The sequence below is a fragment of the Homo sapiens genome, chromosome X (assembly GCF_000001405.40).
Source record: "Homo sapiens chromosome X, GRCh38.p14 Primary Assembly".
Taxonomy (NCBI): domain Eukaryota; kingdom Metazoa; phylum Chordata; class Mammalia; order Primates; family Hominidae; genus Homo; species Homo sapiens.
Genome location: NC_000023.11, coordinates 154,632,470 through 154,650,870, shown reverse-complemented (window position 1 = coordinate 154,650,870; position 18,401 = coordinate 154,632,470). Strand labels below are relative to the sequence as shown.

Sequence of the window (18,401 nt, the reverse complement as noted above, 5' to 3'; positions counted from 1 at the left end):
ACTTGATCCCTTTGAGTTTTGTTTTAGCATTTGCTCGGTGGGAACATAGCAGATTTTAATGTAAGATTAATAATATTAGTTGACAATCTCCAATGCTTGGCAAGGCTGTAGTTGGAAACGAGGACTCATACACTGTCAGTAGGAGTGGTAGTAACATCTATCTGGACATTTATTTGGCATTTTCTATTAAGGGAAAGATGTACATTCCCTTCCACCCACCTTGAGGAATCCATCTGAGAAACTCCTGGATATGCAAATGAGGTAGAATCCACCAGCATCTTAATGACACCACCACGTAAATAGTTTTTAGAATGTAAATGTCCACCAGCTGCGGAAAGGCTGAACAAATCACTGCACAACTGAGGAAGGCGAGGGGGGTTGGTACATCCAGGCTGTGCCAAAGCCGGTTCTGTCTCAGAGCAGAGGAGTTTTTCCAAGAGACGTGGGCACGCTGTGAGGAAGTCCCAGCAGGAAGCCAGGCGAATGCCACCTCCGCATGCCTGCCCCGGAGGGTGTGAGCGGCTTCCTTCTCCTCTGGATCGGTGGTGTGTTAGGAGAGGCCCGGCTCTCTGTCAAGGCCAGGGACGGATGGAAGCTGAGAGAGGACGCTGAGACCTGGGGAGCTTCCTGGAATGCAGGGACGCAGTGAACTCGCTCTGTTTCAGCCCGAGGTGCGCAAAGGAAAACTGAAAGACCAGCAGCAATGTCAGAGAGACCTTCCTGTCATGCCAGCGGGATTCCTTGGGAGCCAGTGAGCGCTCCAGCCCTTGAGGGCTCTGTCACAGCTGGTGGGAGCATGGGTCAGGGCTGTGGCAGAACACACCCCAGCCTCAGGTGAAGAGGTCCCTAATGCTTCCCTCTAGCCCTCATATTCCAGAATTCCAAGTCAAGTCTGAAGAGTCCACTTAACTTCCGTCCTCTCAAACATGCAGAGTGGTCGTCACACGCGGTTAGAGGAGTTTGACTCCTGGTGAAACGGGGAGGCCCGGGCAAACCTGGCCACGAGTCCAGCATGTGCCCGCCCCAGCAAGGTCACCGTGCCCCAGGGGAAGCAGCACCGGGAGAGGTCACCATGCCCCAGGGCCGCGACCCTGGCCGGGCTGACTCAGAAGTCCAGCTGCATTGCAGCTGTAACTGCATCCAGACAACTTTGACCAGGTGCTGAGCCACTGGCCCCTGCAGCCAACATCACGGGCACAAAAGCAGAAGCCCAGGGAGCAAAGATGAAGATCCAGGAGCACAGTAACTGTCAGGTAGGGACCTGCTGGCCCACTGAGTCTGGGAGCAACACCACAGGCGCTGCAGGGAGACCCCCGGAGTGACCCGGGGCCTGTCTCCAGAGGGCGGCCCTTCCTTAATTGGAGCTGCCTCTTCCCCTCCTGCCCTAGGATGTAAACCCTGCTTGGCTGAGGTATTGAATTCACGGGGAATCTGACCCCGCTCTGCCCATGATGCTCATCTGTCCTCTGGGGCCTCATTCCCTGAGCTTCCCAGAGCGGCCTCCTTTGTTTGGCTCAGCTCTGTGTCTTCCTTCCTGAAGCTGTGTCTCCAGTGTGTTAGGCTTCCCCTCTCTTCCCTCAAGTGGCCTCAAGGGCCCAGGAGGAAACGCAAGAGGGCAGGAGGGCTCCCTGAGGTGGAGAGCAGACAGAGAGCAGGTTCTCCTTCTGCCCTGTCTTGAAAGATGCCCCCAATTTACACCCACACGGGCGCCGGAATGGCCAGGTTGGTGAGGAGGGGGAATGGGCGAGGCTCCCATGCAGACACCCAGAGAGGTGAGTCCCTGAGATGGAGAGAAAGGAGTATCCGCGAGCGCACTGCCCTGTGGGAGAGGGAGAATCTCGCTGTTTGCAGAGTCAGCCGTGTGGAAGGCTGCGGCCATCTGTTTTTGCGTGTGTACCTACCGAGGCAAGAAGATCGCTTGGGGTCGAGAGTTTGAGACCAGCCTGGGCCACAGAGCAAGACCCTGTCTCTACAAAAATAAAAAAAATTTTTTTGTTTTTGAGACGGAGTCTCACTCTGTCGCCCAGGCTGGAGTGCAGTGGCACTATCTCAGCTCACTGCAGGCTCTGCCCCCCGGGGTTCATGCCATTCTCCTGCCTCAGCCTCCCGAGTAGCTGGGACTATAGGTGCCCGCCACCACGCCCGGCTAATTTTTTATATTTTTAGTAGAGACGGGGTTTCACCATGTTAGCCAGGATGGTCTCAATCTCCTGACCTCATGATCCGCCCACCTCGGCCTCCCAAAGTGTTGGGATTACAGGCGTGAGCCACCCCACCCAGCCAAAAATAAAAAATTTTTTAAAGTGACATTTGAGACGTACTTTTAAGTGAAGCTGATGTGTTTGGTGTTATTTTCTTGCAGAAAGTGAGGGGCATTAGTGTAAAGGATTTTGGAAGTGTTTAAAGAAACAAAAGGGAGTGTTGAGACGCCATCCACCCCTGAGAGAAGCTGCGTGGTATTATGGCGGGTGGGGGCACCAGGATGGGTGGTCCCACTTCTGGCCTCTGACTTCCTGAGCCTCAGGCCCATGTGGGCCCAGGCAGGGCCCGGCAGGCCGGGCTGCCCAGCTCCCCTCCACTGTCCCCTCTGCCACCAGATGCCATCCGGCAGAGCAACCAGATTCTGCGGGAGCGCTGCGAGGAGCTTCTGCATTTCCAAGCCAGCCAGAGGGAGGAGAAGGAGTTCCTCATGTGCAAGTTCCAGGAGGCCAGGAAACTGGTGGAGAGACTCGGCCTGGAGAAGCTCGATCTGAAGAGGCAGAAGGAGCAGGCTCTGCGGGAGGTGGAGCACCTGAAGAGATGCCAGCAGGTAGTCGGGGCAGGGCCAGGTTCTGAAAACCCGCGGTGACGCCAGTGTTCCACAAGGGAACCCGTGGTCGGGGTCCCCCAAAGCACCCTGGGGCTCAGTGCTGTGCCGGGAGGGCTCGGAACTCAGAAAAGCCGTCACACTCCCAGTTCCGGTTTATTACAAGGAAAGGACACAGGTTACGGTGAGCGAAGGCTCAGGGCGCACAGGGCGGGCTCCAGGAGAGACCAGGCGTGAGCTTCAGCGGCTCCTCGCCCAGGGGAGTTGTGCAGACGGCACCTGTTTCTTTCGGCAACAGTGTGGGACAGCGAGCACGGAGTCACAACCGGGAAGCTCACCCCAGCCGTGGCGGCCGGGGTTTTCACGGGGGGTGGGCCGCGTGGGCACCGAGCGCCTGCGTGGCCAACCCTGGTCACTCGGCTGTAGCCACCAGAGGTCCAGCTGTGTGGCCCAAGGCTCCCCCCATAAATCGTGTCATTAGCACAGACCGCCTGGTTTCAGGGTCTTTGTGTGTGGGCTTGGCTGATCGCAGGATCCTGGCGATGGTAGTCAGGAAGGGGCCGTGCTCCCTTTGAGGGGCAAGGTGGAGAGAAGTGCTGGAGAGGAGACTTGCTGGCGGGTACCTGGCACTTGCCACAGCCAGGCTCCACTCCCCTGGGGAAAGGCGTGGATGGTGGGCTGTGCACGCCGCTCCACTCAGGGCTTAGAGCGCCTGGCTTAAGGCGTTGATTTCCTGTGTGGGAAGTGGATGAGTTTTCTACAGCTGCCGTGACCAAGCACCACAGACTGCGGGGCCGAAGCCACAGAAACGCGTGGCCTCCCGCTTCTGGAGGCCTGGAGGCTGAGCTAGCGGTGGTGTCGGCAGGGTGGGCTCCCCGCCAGGGCCGCGAGGGAGCTGCCTTCCAGGCCTCTCCACGGCGCCGGGGGCCGCCGGCTGCACCTCTCCAGCCTCCATCTCCGTCATCCTGTGGCCTTGTCCCCGCGGGCCTCTGTGCCTGTCCTCCTCTTTTGACAAGAACACCGGAGATACACAAAGGTACACAAAAGCGGGCCTTTGTTCAAGCTGGCAAAAGAGATCTTCTTCAGAAACCCCTGCTTGCGGGGGAGAGAGCTGAGCTCCGTTCCCGCCCCAGCAGAGGCGGCCTGGCCTTGCGAAGGGAGAAGGAGGGAGTCGGGAGGGGGCGAGTGCAGGCTCAGGTGAAAGATGACGGGGCAGCCAGCGTCCTTGCCGCGAGGCCAGCCGTGTGTGGGAGCTGCCGGTGCTTACCAAGGTTGGGATGCTTCCGTCCCGTGGAGACTGGGAGACTGGGCCCCGCGCCTCCTGAGGTTTCCGTTTCCAAGGAGTGGCTGCGGGGCCCTCGGGAAAGCCCCTGGGTTGTGGGTGCTACACAGATGTCTCAAAGGGACAGGGTAAGCCCTTTGTAGTAAATGCTGTCAGAAAGGGAGGTCAGGTGTTGGCCGGAACAGACAGTACATGCTCTGGGCAGCCCTGAGCGTTTCCAGACGGGAACTCACTCAAAAGGGGGCTGGGGCGTCCCAGGGGCGCGGCCTTAGGCTCCCAGAGGCCCCGCGAGGTGGTGGCCGGGTGTCTTCGGGCAGGGGTTTGAGTGCAGTGTGCCTGCCGAGAGGTTCTGCAGTTCCCAGTGTTTAACAAAATTCAGTGTCCACTCTTGATCTGCACAAACTCTCCCATCCTGGCGGCCCCGGGTGTGGACTGGGGCCTGTGTTTACTTTGCCCTATTCGTGTCTGGCCTCCTTTTGTCCCAAGTCTCAGAGAGACGGAGAGAGATCCCCTGCTGGGGCTGTAGCTGCAAGGCCACCGGGTTCAGCCCTCGAGGCCTGCTTGCCGGGGCAGTGACTAAGCCGTTGACAACCTCAAGGCAGCTTTGTGCTCCTTCGTCTCTTTGGGGATCTCTTTTTGCCCCATCTGTGTGTCACCCTGTGGCAGAGGGTTAAGGTGGGCAGCTGGGGAGGGTTGGGTGGCCCTTGGGCTCATGAGGCCCTAGGGCACCCAGGTTTGGGGGTGCCGAGGGCAGGAAAAAAGGCCTCATGGCGCGCAGGCCTCAGCCGCTTGCGGGTTGCCCCGGGCTTGCGGATGGCAGGAGTGGGCCGCTGGGGAGAAAGCAGTGCTGACAGGAAGTGGCTTTTTATCCTGCAGCAGATGGCTGAGGACAAGGCCTCTGTGAAAGCCCAGGTGACGTCCTTGCTCGGGGAGCTGCAGGAGAGCCAGAGTCGCTTGGAGGCTGCCACTAAGGAATGCCAGGCTCTGGAGGGTCGGTGAGTCGGGGGAGCCGGCTCCGGAGACCCCTTGCAGGGTTTCCAAAAGCAATGAGGTGGGTTTAGGGGCCTCCAGGGTGCTCCTTGATGAGGATAGACCGGGGCAGGCTGCGTAAACACGTCGGGGCAGACGTCGGGAGAGGTCTGGGCCAGGCATCCGGGACCTGGGTCCCAGCCGGCTCTCCGCACTCTGTGACCCTTTGATGGAGTTTGGATTATTTCCTTAGGAGGCATTCTGGGGGCCCCGAGCCCACACCCACAGTGTCTAGTTCTCTGGAAGGACTTCTGGGACCGGCGCACAGTCGCCCTCGTGGCTGAGGTTGATGACAGGGAAAAAGGCACAGGGCAGGAGCCGCCAGGGCAGGAGCCGTGGGGGGAGTTGGAGAAGCCCTGTCCCAGCCTCCCGCTGCCCTGCGAGCGGCACAGTGAGAAGCGCCTCCCACACGGGCCATGTTCCTGCCCAGGGATGCCCGCTAGAGACTCAGCGCCCTGGGTGTTTACTGGGGGCAGGTCCTGTCAGCGCCCTCTGCCAGGCAGGTACCTAAATCCCCGACTCCCAGCAGCAGAGCGGGTGCTCACGTCAACCACGTTCTTCCTACAAATGGCCTAGGTGCAGGGACCGACCTGACCACTAGAGAAAGTGTCACTGTGGCAAGGGAACTTCACCAGCCAAGGGCCAACCTTGCCAGCCGGTGGCCTCAGGCCTGCTGGTTACTCTCTTTTGCAAAGGGGTCTTGGTTCTTGTGAGTGGGACCATTGGGTCAAAGGGCAGGGAGGTTTCTGTGGTTCTCATTCGGTCCTGCTTCTGCCCTCCAGACAGATGGATCAGCTGCCAGGGGGGCCCCAGCCATCCCAGCACAGTAGGCGGTCAAGGTGCACTTGGGGCAGCCAGCAGGGCAGAGGGGAGGGGAGCTTGACCCAGGCTCTGATGGGCAGAGGGAACCCGTGCAGGGTGTGGGGGCAGTATGCAGGCAGGCGCGGAGGGGAGAGCCAAGCAGCCAGGCCTGCCAGGCAGAGTTGGGGTGACTGGAGAAGGGCCGTGTCTGCCTGTGGCCAGAGGCCACCCAGGACCTGGACAGATGCACCCACCATTGTCCCTGCAGTGAGGCTGTGGAAGGGCTTGGTGTGGTGGGATGAGGCCAGACCCTGGAAACTGGAGGTTAAGGGAGCTGTAGGGGGGCAGGTGTGGGAACTGAGCATCCGAGCAGGTCGTCTGGGACTCCAGCAGAGCTCTGGGCAGCAGCAGGGATGGGGCCGAGGCCCGGTCTGCATTGAGCTCAGTGCTTGCACGCCCAGGTGGGCAGTCTCTCATTTTTGGAACAGCAGTCTCTCCTGACCCCCTCCACTGAGACTGCTTTTGCTGGGGCCCCCAGCAGTCCCCCAGTGGAACTCCACGGGCAGTTCCGAGGGCTCCTCTCACCTGGCCCCAGCACTGCGGGATGCAGGCGACCCCATCCTTTTCTCGGACCACCCCCTTCCCCTGGCTTCCAGGTCTCCTTGCCATCTGTACTTGGTCACCTGCTGGGCCCCTGCATTGAAGCAAACACGTCTTAAGCAAAGCTCCTCACCTGCTGCTCCCACCTGGCCCCCTGCAGTTGTCCTCGTGTCTGTTGACGGTGCCTCCACCCTGCCGCCTGGCATCAGCTCGCAGTCACAGGGTGTTCAGAGCCGACCCCCACCCCCCGCCCACGCCCTGCGCATAGCCCCTCCCGTCCCCCCGTTCGTCCTCCCTGAGTCTGCTCTTTCCCCGTGCCAGGGCCCGGGCGGCCAGCGAGCAGGCGCGGCAGCTGGAGAGTGAGCGCGAGGCGCTGCAGCAGCAGCACAGCGTGCAGGTGGACCAGCTGCGCATGCAGGGCCAGAGCGTGGAGGCCGCGCTCCGCATGGAGCGCCAGGCCGCCTCGGAGGAGAAGTGAGTCAGCGGGGGCGGGGCCGCACCGCAGGGTCTGTGGTTCTACACTTGATCTTAGCCGAAAGGCTGAGAAGTGTCGGGTCCATGGTTCTTTCTGCCTTCTGAGGACTCCTTCAGATTCTGCCTGTGGCTGTGGGCCCATTCTGTCCCTTAGCCTTGCTAACGGTAGAGGCGACCATGATGACACCCGGTTTGTCTTTGATACAGTCATGCCATCTGCTCTCCAGACCACGTTTCACTGCGTGTCCACACGTGGCCTTTTTTGTAGTTTTTTTTTCCTAGCCACTAGGTCATCAGGGGACTTGTCCTTTAAAACCCCTTCTAGGCCAGGTGCTGTGGCTCACGCCTGTAATCCCAACACTTTGGGAGGCCAAAGTGGGTAGATGGCTTAAGCCCGGGAGTTCCAAGACCAGCCTGGGCAACAGAAAGACAACAAAAATACCCCCAAACCCCCCCGTCTACCAGCATCCAATCTGGGACCTCAGGTTCCTGTCCTTGGCGTGCCTTTTCAGTCTCCTTTAATCTAGAACAGTTCCCCTGCCTTTCTGAGCTGTTTGTGAAGTTCACAGTTTTGAACAGTGCAGGGTAGTTCCATTGTATTATTACTATTATTTTCAAGACAGGGTCTTGCTCTACCGTCCAGGCTGGAGTGCAGTGGCATAATCTCGGCTTACTGTACCTTCCGCCTCTTGGTCTCAAGCGATCCTCCCAGGTAGCTGGGACTATAGGCGCAGGCCAGCACACCTGGCTAATTTTTGCATTTTTGGTAGAGGTGGCGTTTTCCTATGTTGCCCGGGCTGGTCTTGAACTCCTGAGCTCAAGCGATCCTCCTGCCTTGGCTTCTCAAAGTGTTGGGATTATGGGCGTGAGCCACCGCGTCTGGCCGCGATTTTATTATAAACATTAAAAATACTAGCTTTTAGGAAAACGATATTAACTGCCTGGTGACCAGCCCACCAAAGCCTGCTTTAGAGTTGACGGCCTCAGGAGTCCTCACACAGCCTTGGAAGACCCCATTCCAGGCCTGTGATGCGAGGGAGGGAAGGAAGGGGGTAGAGTTGGAAGCAGGCAGCACCGTGGCTGGACTGGCATGAGGTGGTTTCTCCAGCAAAAGCTCCCTTTCCTCAGGAGGAAGCTGGCCCAGTTGCAGGTGGCCTATCACCAGCTCTTCCAAGAATACGACAACCACATCAAGAGCAGCGTGGTGGGCAGTGAGCGGAAGCGAGTGAGTGCGACCACTGGGGCTCTAGGGCTGGCCTTGCCTCTTCCTCTCCCCGTGGCCCTGAACCTTGAGAATGGGTAGACCTGCCTTAGACTTGCCTTAGACCTGTGTCAGGCTGCAGCTGCGACAGCTCAGGGAAGCTGTGGGGAGATGGCAACCCCAGGATGTTGCTCTCAGGAGTGTCAGCAGGCCATCTTAATGGGGGGCTGGGCCAGAGCCTTGGGGTGCTCCCTCTGTGGGGCTGGGGACGTCTTGTCTCCATGGACATTCCCTCTTGCCAGCCATCGCCATCTGGCACCTGGCTCAGCTTCCCCCAAGCCAAGGTAAGCCCGACAGCATTTCCACCCCAGTGTTGGCTGGGAGCCTTTTCCTAGTTTGTCCTCATCAGACCTAAGCTGGGGTGCAGTTTGCTAGTGATCACATTTTAGCAGGACACCGTCAATCGTAAGTGTACCCAGAGGAGATTTATAAGGACAAAGCCTGAAGCCAGGTCACATGGGGAAGAGTTAGCTACAAAACTGGCCACTTAATCTCTGGAGGGGGGCGTTGGTGGGGTGTGTCTGTGTGTGTCTCAGGGGGCTGGAGATGCCTGCGTGGGAGGAGTGCACCTCTGACCAGGTGGCAGAGTGGAAGGACTGAGGGCTCTCAGCTGAGCTGTGCACATGGCGGGCACAGGACCGGCTGGCTGTGAGTGGGTGTGGCCTGTGGCCTGTGAAGGGTGGGAGGAGGGCTGTGGAGCTGGGGATTCTGGGAAGGGAATGTCGGCCCAGCTGGGAGGTTGTACCAGATGACCTCAGCGGCCTCTTCAGTCCTGAAAAAAACCTCAGCATCTCCTCTGTCGTTTTGGGCCGTGACAGGACGCAGCCATCTCCCTGTGCACGCTGAGATCCTGCAATGGGCCCTCAAATCAGGGGCTGGCATCACCCAGCCTGGTCAGCCAGGGCCACTCTTTCATCCTTCTCAGTTCTTCTCAGCCAGCCTCGCCCTGGGCTGACGAGGCTCCGTCAGCTCCCCTTGCCCGTCCTTAGGGAATGCAGCTGGAAGATCTCAAACAGCAGCTCCAGCAGGCCGAGGAGGCCCTGGTGGCCAAACAGGAGGTGATCGATAAGCTGAAGGAGGAGGCCGAGCAGCACAAGATTGTGATGGAGACCGTTCCGGTGCTGAAGGCCCAGGTGAGGGCCCTCCTCTCTGACCCACCCTGGCACTGGGACCTGGAGAGTCTCTTTGGCGTCTTTTTTTTTTTTTTTTGCTTTTGCTTTTTGAGATTGAGTTTTGCTCTTGTTGCCCAGGCTGGAGTGCCACTAGTGGCACGATCTTGGCTCACTGCAACCTCTGCCTCCCGGGTTCAAACAATTCTCTTGCCTCAGCCTCCTGAGTAGCTGGGATTACAGGCGCCTGCCGCCATGCCCGTCTAATTTTTGTATTTTTAGTAGAGACAGGGTTTCACCATGTTGGCCCAGCTGGTCTCGAACTTCTGGCCTCAGGTGATCTGCCCACCGCAGTCTCTCAAAGTTCTGGGATTACAGGCGTGAGCCACCGCACCCGGCCTCTTTGGCATCATTTTGTAGTGGCCTTTCGTAAGCTTCTGAGCCACTTGTGCTGCTCCTTAGACCTCTCGGTGAGCTTGGCATTACTCGCCGACGTATCTGTTTCCTCTGCGCCGCTGGGGGCTCTGGGAGGACAGCAGTGGGTTCTGCTTTGTTCCTGTGGTGCCTGGCGCAGTGCCTGGTGGGTGGCTGGCTTGTGGCGGGCACATCCCTTTCTGTTGGATTTGCCAGGCGGATATCTACAAGGCGGACTTCCAGGCTGAGAGGCAGGCCCGGGAGAAGCTGGCCGAGAAGAAGGAGCTCCTGCAGGAGCAGCTGGAGCAGCTGCAGAGGGAGTACAGCAAACTGAAGGCCAGCTGTCAGGAGTCGGCCAGGTGGGCCTCTGAGAGCGTGCCCGTGTGAGCAGTGGGTGCGACACTGGGGGGTCGCCAGTGGTGACCCCGCAGTGGGTGCGACACTGGGGGGTTGCCAGTGGTGACCACAGGAGACGGATGGCTCCTGGTGTTCTGGGTTAGGGCTCACTGTGGTCCCTCTCCTCTCACCTGAGCTTCCAAGAGCTGCTTTGACACTAGTCCAGCCAAGGAGCTTTACAGAAATGCGTGGCTTGACTGGACGGTTTCTGTTTCCAAAGGATCGAGGACATGAGGAAGCGGCATGTCGAGGTCTCCCAGGCCCCCTTGCCCCCCGCCCCTGGTGAGTGAGCGAGAACTGGGCCTGCGGGAGGAGGTGGGTGGGGAGGGCAGGTGCTGCGCCGCGGGAGGTCACAGTTCGACCTTCCTGTTGCTCTCTGGAGACTTGACGGCGGGAGCTCGTGTAGGCCACCCCATCGGTAGCCCACCCCCTTCCCCGAGGCTAAGGGAGGCATGCCGTGGTAGCGGCGGCTCCTGGTCTTACATGAGTGGCCTGTGAGACCAGGCCTGCCATTGACAGTCCTGCCAAGTCTCCGTCCCCCTCCATCCTCCCCTTCCCTCTGACTCTTCTCTTTTCCCAGCCTACCTCTCCTCTCCCCTGGCCCTGCCCAGCCAGAGGAGGAGCCCCCCCGAGGAGCCACCTGACTTCTGCTGTCCCAAGTGCCAGTATCAGGCCCCTGATATGGACACCCTGCAGATACATGTCATGGAGTGCATTGAGTAGGGCCGGCCAGTGCAAGGCCACTGCCTGCCGAGGACGTGCCCGGGACCGTGCAGTCTGCGCTTTCCTCTCCCGCCTGCCTAGCCCAGGATGAAGGGCTGGGTGGCCACAACTGGGATGCCACCTGGAGCCCCACCCAGGAGCTGGCCGCGGCACCTTACGCTTCAGCTGTTGATCCGCTGGTCCCCTCTTTTGGGGTAGATGCGGCCCCGATCAGGCCTGACTCGCTGCTCTTTTTGTTCCCTTCTGTCTGCTCGAACCACTTGCCTCGGGCTAATCCCTCCCTCTTCCTCCACCCGGCACTGGGGAAGTCAAGAATGGGGCCTGGGGCTCTCAGGGAGAACTGCTTCCCCTGGCAGAGCTGGGTGGCCGCTCTTCCTCCCACCGGACACCGACCCGCCCGCCGCTGTGCCCTGGGAGTGCTGCCCTCTTACCATGCACACGGGTGCTCTCCTTTTGGGCTGCATGCTATTCCATTTTGCAGCCAGACCGATGTGTATTTAACCAGTCACTATTGATGGACATTTGGGTTGTTTCCCATCTTTTTGTTACCATAAATAATGGCATAGTAAAAATCCTTGTGCATTAGTCGTGCGTATCTTTGGCATAGATTCTGAGAAGTGACACCACTGAGCATGGGCGATGGCGTAGATGGTACCTGAGCCCCCTTCCTCCTTGGAGCTTGGTTTCCCATCTCTCCCCACCCCCTATTTCCCTAGCCTTGCCAAGGAGGAGGTGGGAAAGCCCGTTTGGGTTTTTGTCATTCGCTAGGCCATGCAGTTCTCTGTTAAGAGTGAGCTTAAACATCTTTCCTGAGGCTTTAAGGACCTTTTTTAGTTCTGCTTCTGAATGGGCTGCTCATATCATATATATATATGTATATGTATAGTTGTGTATATGTATGTGTGTGTGTGTGTGTGTGTGTGTGTGTATTTTTTTTTTTTTTTTTTGAGACAGAGTTTTGCTCTTCTCGCCCAGACTGGAGTGCAGTGGCGTGATCTCAGCTCACTGCAACCTCTGCCTCCTGCGTTCAACCTATTCTCCTGCCTCAGCCTCCCTAGTAGCTGGGACTACAGGCGCCTGCCACCACGCTCGGCTAATTTTTGTATTTTTAGTAGAGATGGGGTTTCACCATGTTGGCCAGGCTGGTCTCGAACTCCTGACCTCACGTGATCCACCTGCCTTGGCCTCCCAAAGTGCTGGGATTACAGGTGTGAGCCACTGTACCTGGCCAATTTTTGTATTTTTAGTAGAGATGGGGGTTTCAGCACTTTGGCCAGGCTGGTCTCAAACTCCTGACCTCAGGTGATCTGCCTGCCTCGGCCTCCCAAAGTGCTAGGATTACAGGTGTGAGCCACTGCGCCCCGCTGGGCTGCTCATATCTTTTATCCGTTTTTCTACTGGGTTATCTTTTGTTGCTCAGCTTTTAGAAACTCTTTGTCCATGAGCAGGATTGGGTTTGTGGCTGTGATAGAAATTGCAGATATCTTTTCCTGCTTTGACCTCGCTACTAGTGTTTCTTTGTTTTTTGTTTTGAGATAAGGTCTCTGTCACCCGGGTGGGAGTGTAGTGGCACAATCAGAGCTCACTGCAGCCTTGACCTCCTGAGCTCCAGCAGTCCTCCTGCCTCGGCCTTGCGAGTAGCTGGGATCACAGGCGTGCGCCACCACACCCTGCTAAACTACTGGTGCTTCTCAGCCTCGAAGTTTTTTTTTCTTTATGTAGTCACATTTATCCATTTTTTCCCCCTTTTACTGCTTTGACTTTGGAGTCGTCGTGACCACCTTGTGGTCTGTGGGAGGGATGCTTCACACATGAGCACTTTTCTTTTTCTAACACCGAAGCGTGCTCTTGTCTTCACCAAGAGTGTTGTTGCCCAGTGTGACTGGTGATGGCTGTTTCATCATATTCCAGAAGTTTGTGATGCCATTTCCCACACTGGCCCCAATTAGGAAGAACAGACGACTCTACTTGTTTTGCAAGATTCTGGAAATTTCCCGGGGTGTCAGAGCCCTGGGCATTAACCCTGCAATTGTAGCAAAGGAAACAAAGTTGGAAGTTGACTCCCCAGCACCCGGGCCTTCCTTCCTGCCCTCCTCCAAGCTGCCCTGGTTGGGAACGGGATATTGTGAATCCACCCTGAGGCTTCCTCACAGGGCTTCCTGCTATTTGACAGTGTGAGGCTGGCTAGAATTGGGATATGAGGCCTTCTAAAAATTAACCTGGCCTGAGGGCTTTCTCAGCATCTGGGGGCGGGGTGTGGGGGCGGGGAGTGACCTTTCCCCTTCTTCAAGCCAGGTGCCCATCAGATTCTACTTGGGAAAATGTGAAAGGCACAGACAGCTTGTCTGCTCACGGGTGCTGCACTTAAATCCTAATCTTGCAATTTTTCTACAAGAGCACTTTACATTTTTTTTTTGGAGGGAGGGTGTATGAGTAGACGGTGGCTGCTGTAACAAAGGACTGCACACTTGGGGCTTAAAACAACAGAAACTCCTTCACAGTGTTGGAAGCCACAGTCTGCAATCAAGTTGTCAGCAAGGCTGGTTTCTTTTTTCTTTCTCTTTCTTTCTTTCTTTCTCTTTCTTTCTTTCTTTCTTTCTCTTTCTTTCTTTTTCTTTCTCTTTCTCTTTCTTTCTTTCTTTCTTTTTTCTTTCTTTTCTTTCTCCCTCTCTCTCTCCCTCTCTCTCTCCTCTCTCTCTTTCTCTCTTTCTTTCTTGTTGGATACAGTCTTGCTCTGACACCCAGGCTGGAGTGCAGTGGTGCCATCTCAGTTCACTGCAACTTCCGCCTCCAGGGTTCAAGCAATTCTTGTGCCTCAGCCTCCCGAGTATCTGGGATTACAAGTGCCCGCCACTATGTCCGGCAAGGCTGGTTTCCTCTGCAGGTGCCAAGAGAATCGTTTACAGGTCTCTGTCTTAGCCTCTGCTGGTTGCTTATAGAGCCATCACCCTAGTCTCTGCCTCTGTCATCACACAGTCTCTTCCTCTTCGTCTGTGTCTTCCCTTTTGTCTCATAAAGGACACCAGTCATTGGATGTAGGGCCCACCTGGATAATCCAGAATGATCTCCTCATCTCGGCATTCATTACATCTGCAAAGACCCTTTTCCCAAAGAAGGTCACACCCATAAGATATGCACGTATCTCTTCAGGGCCATCACACAACCCAGTATGGGGACATGTTCCAGTGCACACAGATGAGGGCAAATGCAGCAGCAGTGCCTGGGAGCTGGAAAAACACCCCTGCTTGGGCCCCCTGGACCAACCGAGTCAGAATCTTGGTCTAGACCCACCAGGCATTGGTCTAGACCCACCGCCCTGCCCGGAGGTGGGGCTGCCTCCTCCCTCCTCCGGTAGCACAGTGTAGGGTTGACCGTACACCAGACACCAAGGATTTAAAACCATACCATTTGCGCAGAAGTACGGCATTCCAGTGTTTTCCTTTTCGGCTTTACTTAGGTTGAGCTTCCAGAACAACTGGTTGGATTACTCTTGGGAGGGAACCAGCCTGCCTGCCCTATTGGCTGCGGCCCCTTGATCCACAAACGAAGCCCATCCCTGCCGGAGCTTGTGGCGTTCTCTGGTGTTCATGCGCGCTCCCCCTCCTGCCGACCAATGCACAAGAACAGTGCGGGCGACCAGTAAGCACAGTGAGAAAGCATTTCACCCTCATCAGTAACTAAAACAACAGCAAGTCTGACGGCAAGCAAAAAGTGATCTGAAAATGGCAACCGATGAAGCCCTAGGTGAGCGCTCTGCTGGCAAGGTGCAGGACAGCGGCCCTTGCAATGCTGCCCTTTCCGAGGGGGCCATTTGCTGGGATGGAGCAAGCCCGTAGGCAGCGTCCTCAGCCCTGGTGCGTAACCCTAAGAGAGAGTCGGGCACTCAGCGATGACTCTGGCATTGGGAAGGTGCTTCACTTCGTCATTTGTAGCTGCCAAAGGTCGGGGTGAGATAAGAGGCTGCGTATGTAACGATGTGGTCCGGCACAGCTGGCATTTTGAACATCTCCTCACACGCAACATGCCTTGTAGCATGTTGGTGTGAACAGGCCAGGTGACAAACTTATGGATAAAGCGTGACCCCAATAGAGAAGTAAAAGCTCTGAGTGCATACCCTGCTAACATTTGGACGGACGTGAGTAGCTGGGTGGCCAGTAATGAGAAGTTTTCCTTACATGTTAGTACCTTTCCTAAATGCCTATCATTTGCACGCATTCCTTTGATACACAGAGAATACGTCTTCCCACACAGTCGCTCGGGTGGTAACGCAGCTTGGTTTTCTTCTGTGCCAGTGGCAGGGAAGAGCCCGCTGTTGACACAGCCTCTCAGCAAGGCACGGGGCAGGGGCTGACTGTGTCTCCTGGGGCTGCCGTGACCAAGCACCACAGACTGCGGGGCCGAAGCCACAGAAACGCGTGGCCTCCCGCTTCTGGAGGCCTGGAGGCTGAGCTAGCGGTGGTGTCGGCAGGGTGGGCTCCCCGCCAGGGCCGCGAGGGAGCTGCCTTCCAGGCCTCTCCACGGCGCCGGGGGCCGCCGGCTGCACCTCTCCAGCCTCCATCTCCGTCATCCTGTGGCCTTGTCCCCGCGGGCCTCTGTGCCTGTCCTCCTCTTTTGACAAGAACACCGGAGATACACAAAGGTACACAAAAGCGGGCCTTTGTTCAAGCTGGCAAAAGAGATCTTCTTCAGAAACCCCTGCTTGCGGGGGAGAGAGCTGAGCTCCGTTCCCGCCCCAGCAGAGGCGGCCTGGCCTTGCGAAGGGAGAAGGAGGGAGTCGGGAGGGGGCGAGTGCAGGCTCAGGTGAAAGATGACGGGGCAGCCAGCGTCCTTGCCGCGAGGCCAGCCGTGTGTGGGAGCTGCCGGTGCTTACCAAGGTTGGGATGCTTCCGTCCCGTGGAGACTGGGAGACTGGGCCCCGCGCCTCCTGAGGTTTCCGTTTCCAAGGAGTGGCTGCGGGGCCCTCGGGAAAGCCCCTGGGTTGTGGGTGCTACACAGATGTCTCAAAGGGACAGGGTAAGCCCTTTGTAGTAAATGCTGTCAGAAAGGGAGGTCAGGTGTTGGCCGGAACAGACAGTACATGCTCTGGGCAGCCCTGAGCGTTTCCAGACGGGAACTCACTCAAAAGGGGGCTGGGGCGTCCCAGGGGCGCGGCCTTAGGCTCCCAGAGGCCCCGCGAGGTGGTGGCCGGGTGTCTTCGGGCAGGGGTTTGAGTGCAGTGTGCCTGCCGAGAGGTTCTGCAGTTCCGAGCACCATCATTTTCTCCTCCTCAGACCCCTTGGTTCTCCTTCCACGTCCTGGCAGCTGCTTCGCAGGCTCCTTGCTGGTTCCTGTGTCTCCGAGCTGACTCCCGAATTCTCTTCCTCTCCTTGCTCAGACACTGCCCCTTTGTGACCTCGTCCATCTTCAAGGCCTTGATGCTGATGACAGATTTCTGTCTTCCAGTCCTGATCTGTTCCTTCACGAAAATGAGCCCAGTAGCCCGTCCAAGCCAGAAATGGACTTTTAGCCCCCACCCCCTGCCAACTCTGCCCTTTCCCTCATCCCCAGTTGCTTAAACCAAAACGGATTCCTCTTCCTCTCATGATCCAAACTCCTGAGTCCCTTCACCTTTTGCCTACACTATCACAGTGACCTCCTTGCTGCTTTCACACTGGAGAGCGTGGGCTCCCTGTGATCTACTCTCCACATGGCAGCCAGTGTCATCTGGTAAACCTTTGCTGAAACCCTGCCATGCCCTTCAGTTGCCCTGGAAACCTGAACTCATCCTCAGCCTGGCTCGCAGAGCCCTCATGCCGCTGGGACGTCACGTTATGTCCCTCTCCTGCTGGCCCGCTGCACCCAGCCGCACCACATGCCGGCCGCACCTCACACACGCTGGCCTCTTGGCCCTTCCTCGAACACACGGCGCTTGTCCTTGTTGTCCCCTCATCTTTGCATGGCCGATTTCTTTTTCTCATTCAGCTCTAAGTTTAAACTTTCAACAGTTCTAAGCGTATCACCTTCTTCATCTTAAAGTCCTCATCCTAAATCACACTGCACTGTTTTAACTCCCAGCTTGGCAGTCCAAACGGCCTCATTTATTCTGCTTTGTTTTCTCTCTCCTTCCACCAGAGGGAGAGCAGAGGCCTCCTCCAGCTCAGTCAGGCACCATCCCCCGGAACAGCGGTCTCCAACCTTTTTGGCACCAGGGACCGGTTTTGTGGAAGACGAGTTTTCCACAGACGGGGATGGGGCGTGGGATGACGGTTCGGGGATGAAACTCTTCCACTTCAGATCATCAGGCATTAGTCAGATGCTCCTAAGGAGCACACAACCTAGATCCCTCGCACACACAGTTCACAATAGGGTTTGCGCTCCTGTGAGAGTCTGAGGCCGCTGGCTGATCTGACAGGAGGCAGAGCTCAGGCGGTCATGCGAGCAATGGGGAGCAGCTGTACACACAGATGAAGCTTCGCTCGCGTGCCCACCACTCGCCGCCTGCTCTGTGGCTCAGTTCTTAACAGGCCACAGACCAGTATCGGTCCGTGGCCGGGGGGTTGGGGACCCCTGCCCTAGAACGATGCTCGGCACAGCTACACTCGGTGCACATTTCTTGGTGGCCTGAGCTTGTCTTGAGCTCCATCAGGATTTCTCTGTCAATATTTTTGTAGACCATACCCTGTCACCATAAATGGTGCTTGGTAGAAATGACTGTATGCATGTGATAGGGATAACACAGAAAACCCATGGTAGAGAGCATGGCGACTAACTTGGAGGGACTTCTTTTTGTCTTTTTTTTTTTTTTTTTTTTTTTTTTCGTTTTTGCAGAGATGCAGGTATTGTCATGTTGCCTGGGCTGGTCTCAAACTCCTGGGTTCAAGCAATCCTCCCACCTGTGCCTCCCTAAGTGTTGGGATTACAGGCATGAGCCGCTGCCTCCCCGCAGCATGGGGGGACTTCTTATAAGCATTTTTATTTATTTATTTGGAATTCGGATGGATAGATCATGTTGGCCTGATAATGTATGTGCAAGAGCACAGACTCTGGGGTCTCATGGACAAGCCCCACTCTGCCCCTTGCTTAATGTCTCTGAGCCTCAGTTTCCTCATCTGTAACAAGGGCAGAAATGCCATCCGTGTGCAGCAGAGTACCGACGAAAGGATGGATGCAATGCTCTTACGGCAGTGCCCCACCCAAGGCACAAGGAAAAACCACGAAAGCAATTCCAGTTTACACCACGTCCCAAACTGGATTTTCCATTCGACTATAATTCCTCCCAATAAGGGCTCAAAACGTTGTCTAAGGAAAGTCGATTGGTTGTTGCCCAGGGCTGGAGGAGTTGGGGGAAAACGGGGAGTGACTGCTGATGGAGACAGAGTTTCCTTTTGAGATGATGAGAATGTCCTGAAGCTGGTCATGCTGATGGTTGCACGTATCTATGAATATACTAAAAACCATCGAATTGTACACTTTAGACATGTGAATTGTGTAGCATGTGAATTAAACCTCAAGTCGTTATTTTAAAAA

General features: G+C 56.7%; 1 long non-coding RNA gene and 1 pseudogene across 1 annotated transcript, besides 6 other annotated features; both read left to right on the top strand.

The window, feature by feature from the left end:
• On the top strand, window positions 2,596–11,480 carry IKBKGP1 (inhibitor of nuclear factor kappa B kinase subunit gamma pseudogene 1; annotated as a pseudogene).
• Window positions 2,974–4,743: a meiotic recombination region, noted in NCBI's record as "meiotic double-strand break mapped by DNA meiotic recombinase 1 chromatin immunoprecipitation followed by single-stranded DNA enrichment and sequencing in the germ cells of some male individuals with the PRDM9 A/A and PRDM9 A/B genotypes". NCBI's record gives the evidence for it as "EXISTENCE:chromatin immunoprecipitation-seq evidence [ECO:0000229][PMID:25395542]".
• Window positions 3,552–3,720: a mobile genetic element, noted in NCBI's record as "direction; forward".
• Window positions 3,569–4,447: a non allelic homologous recombination region, noted in NCBI's record as "IKBKGP1 NAHR recombination sub-region recombines with either the IKBKGP1 upstream recombination region or the IKBKG NAHR recombination sub-region within the IKBKG recombination region". NCBI's record gives the evidence for it as "EXISTENCE:nucleotide sequencing assay evidence [ECO:0000219][PMID:19603533]".
• Window positions 3,838–4,449: a mobile genetic element, noted in NCBI's record as "direction; forward".
• Window positions 15,261–16,139: a non allelic homologous recombination region, noted in NCBI's record as "IKBKGP1 upstream recombination region recombines with the IKBKGP1 NAHR recombination sub-region within the IKBKGP1 recombination region". NCBI's record gives the evidence for it as "EXISTENCE:nucleotide sequencing assay evidence [ECO:0000219][PMID:19603533]".
• Window positions 15,530–16,138: a mobile genetic element, noted in NCBI's record as "direction; forward".
• FAM223B (family with sequence similarity 223 member B) lies at window positions 17,689–18,401 on the top strand. Its single transcript, NR_027402.1, has one exon. It is a non-coding gene; the product is annotated as a family with sequence similarity 223 member B (long non-coding RNA).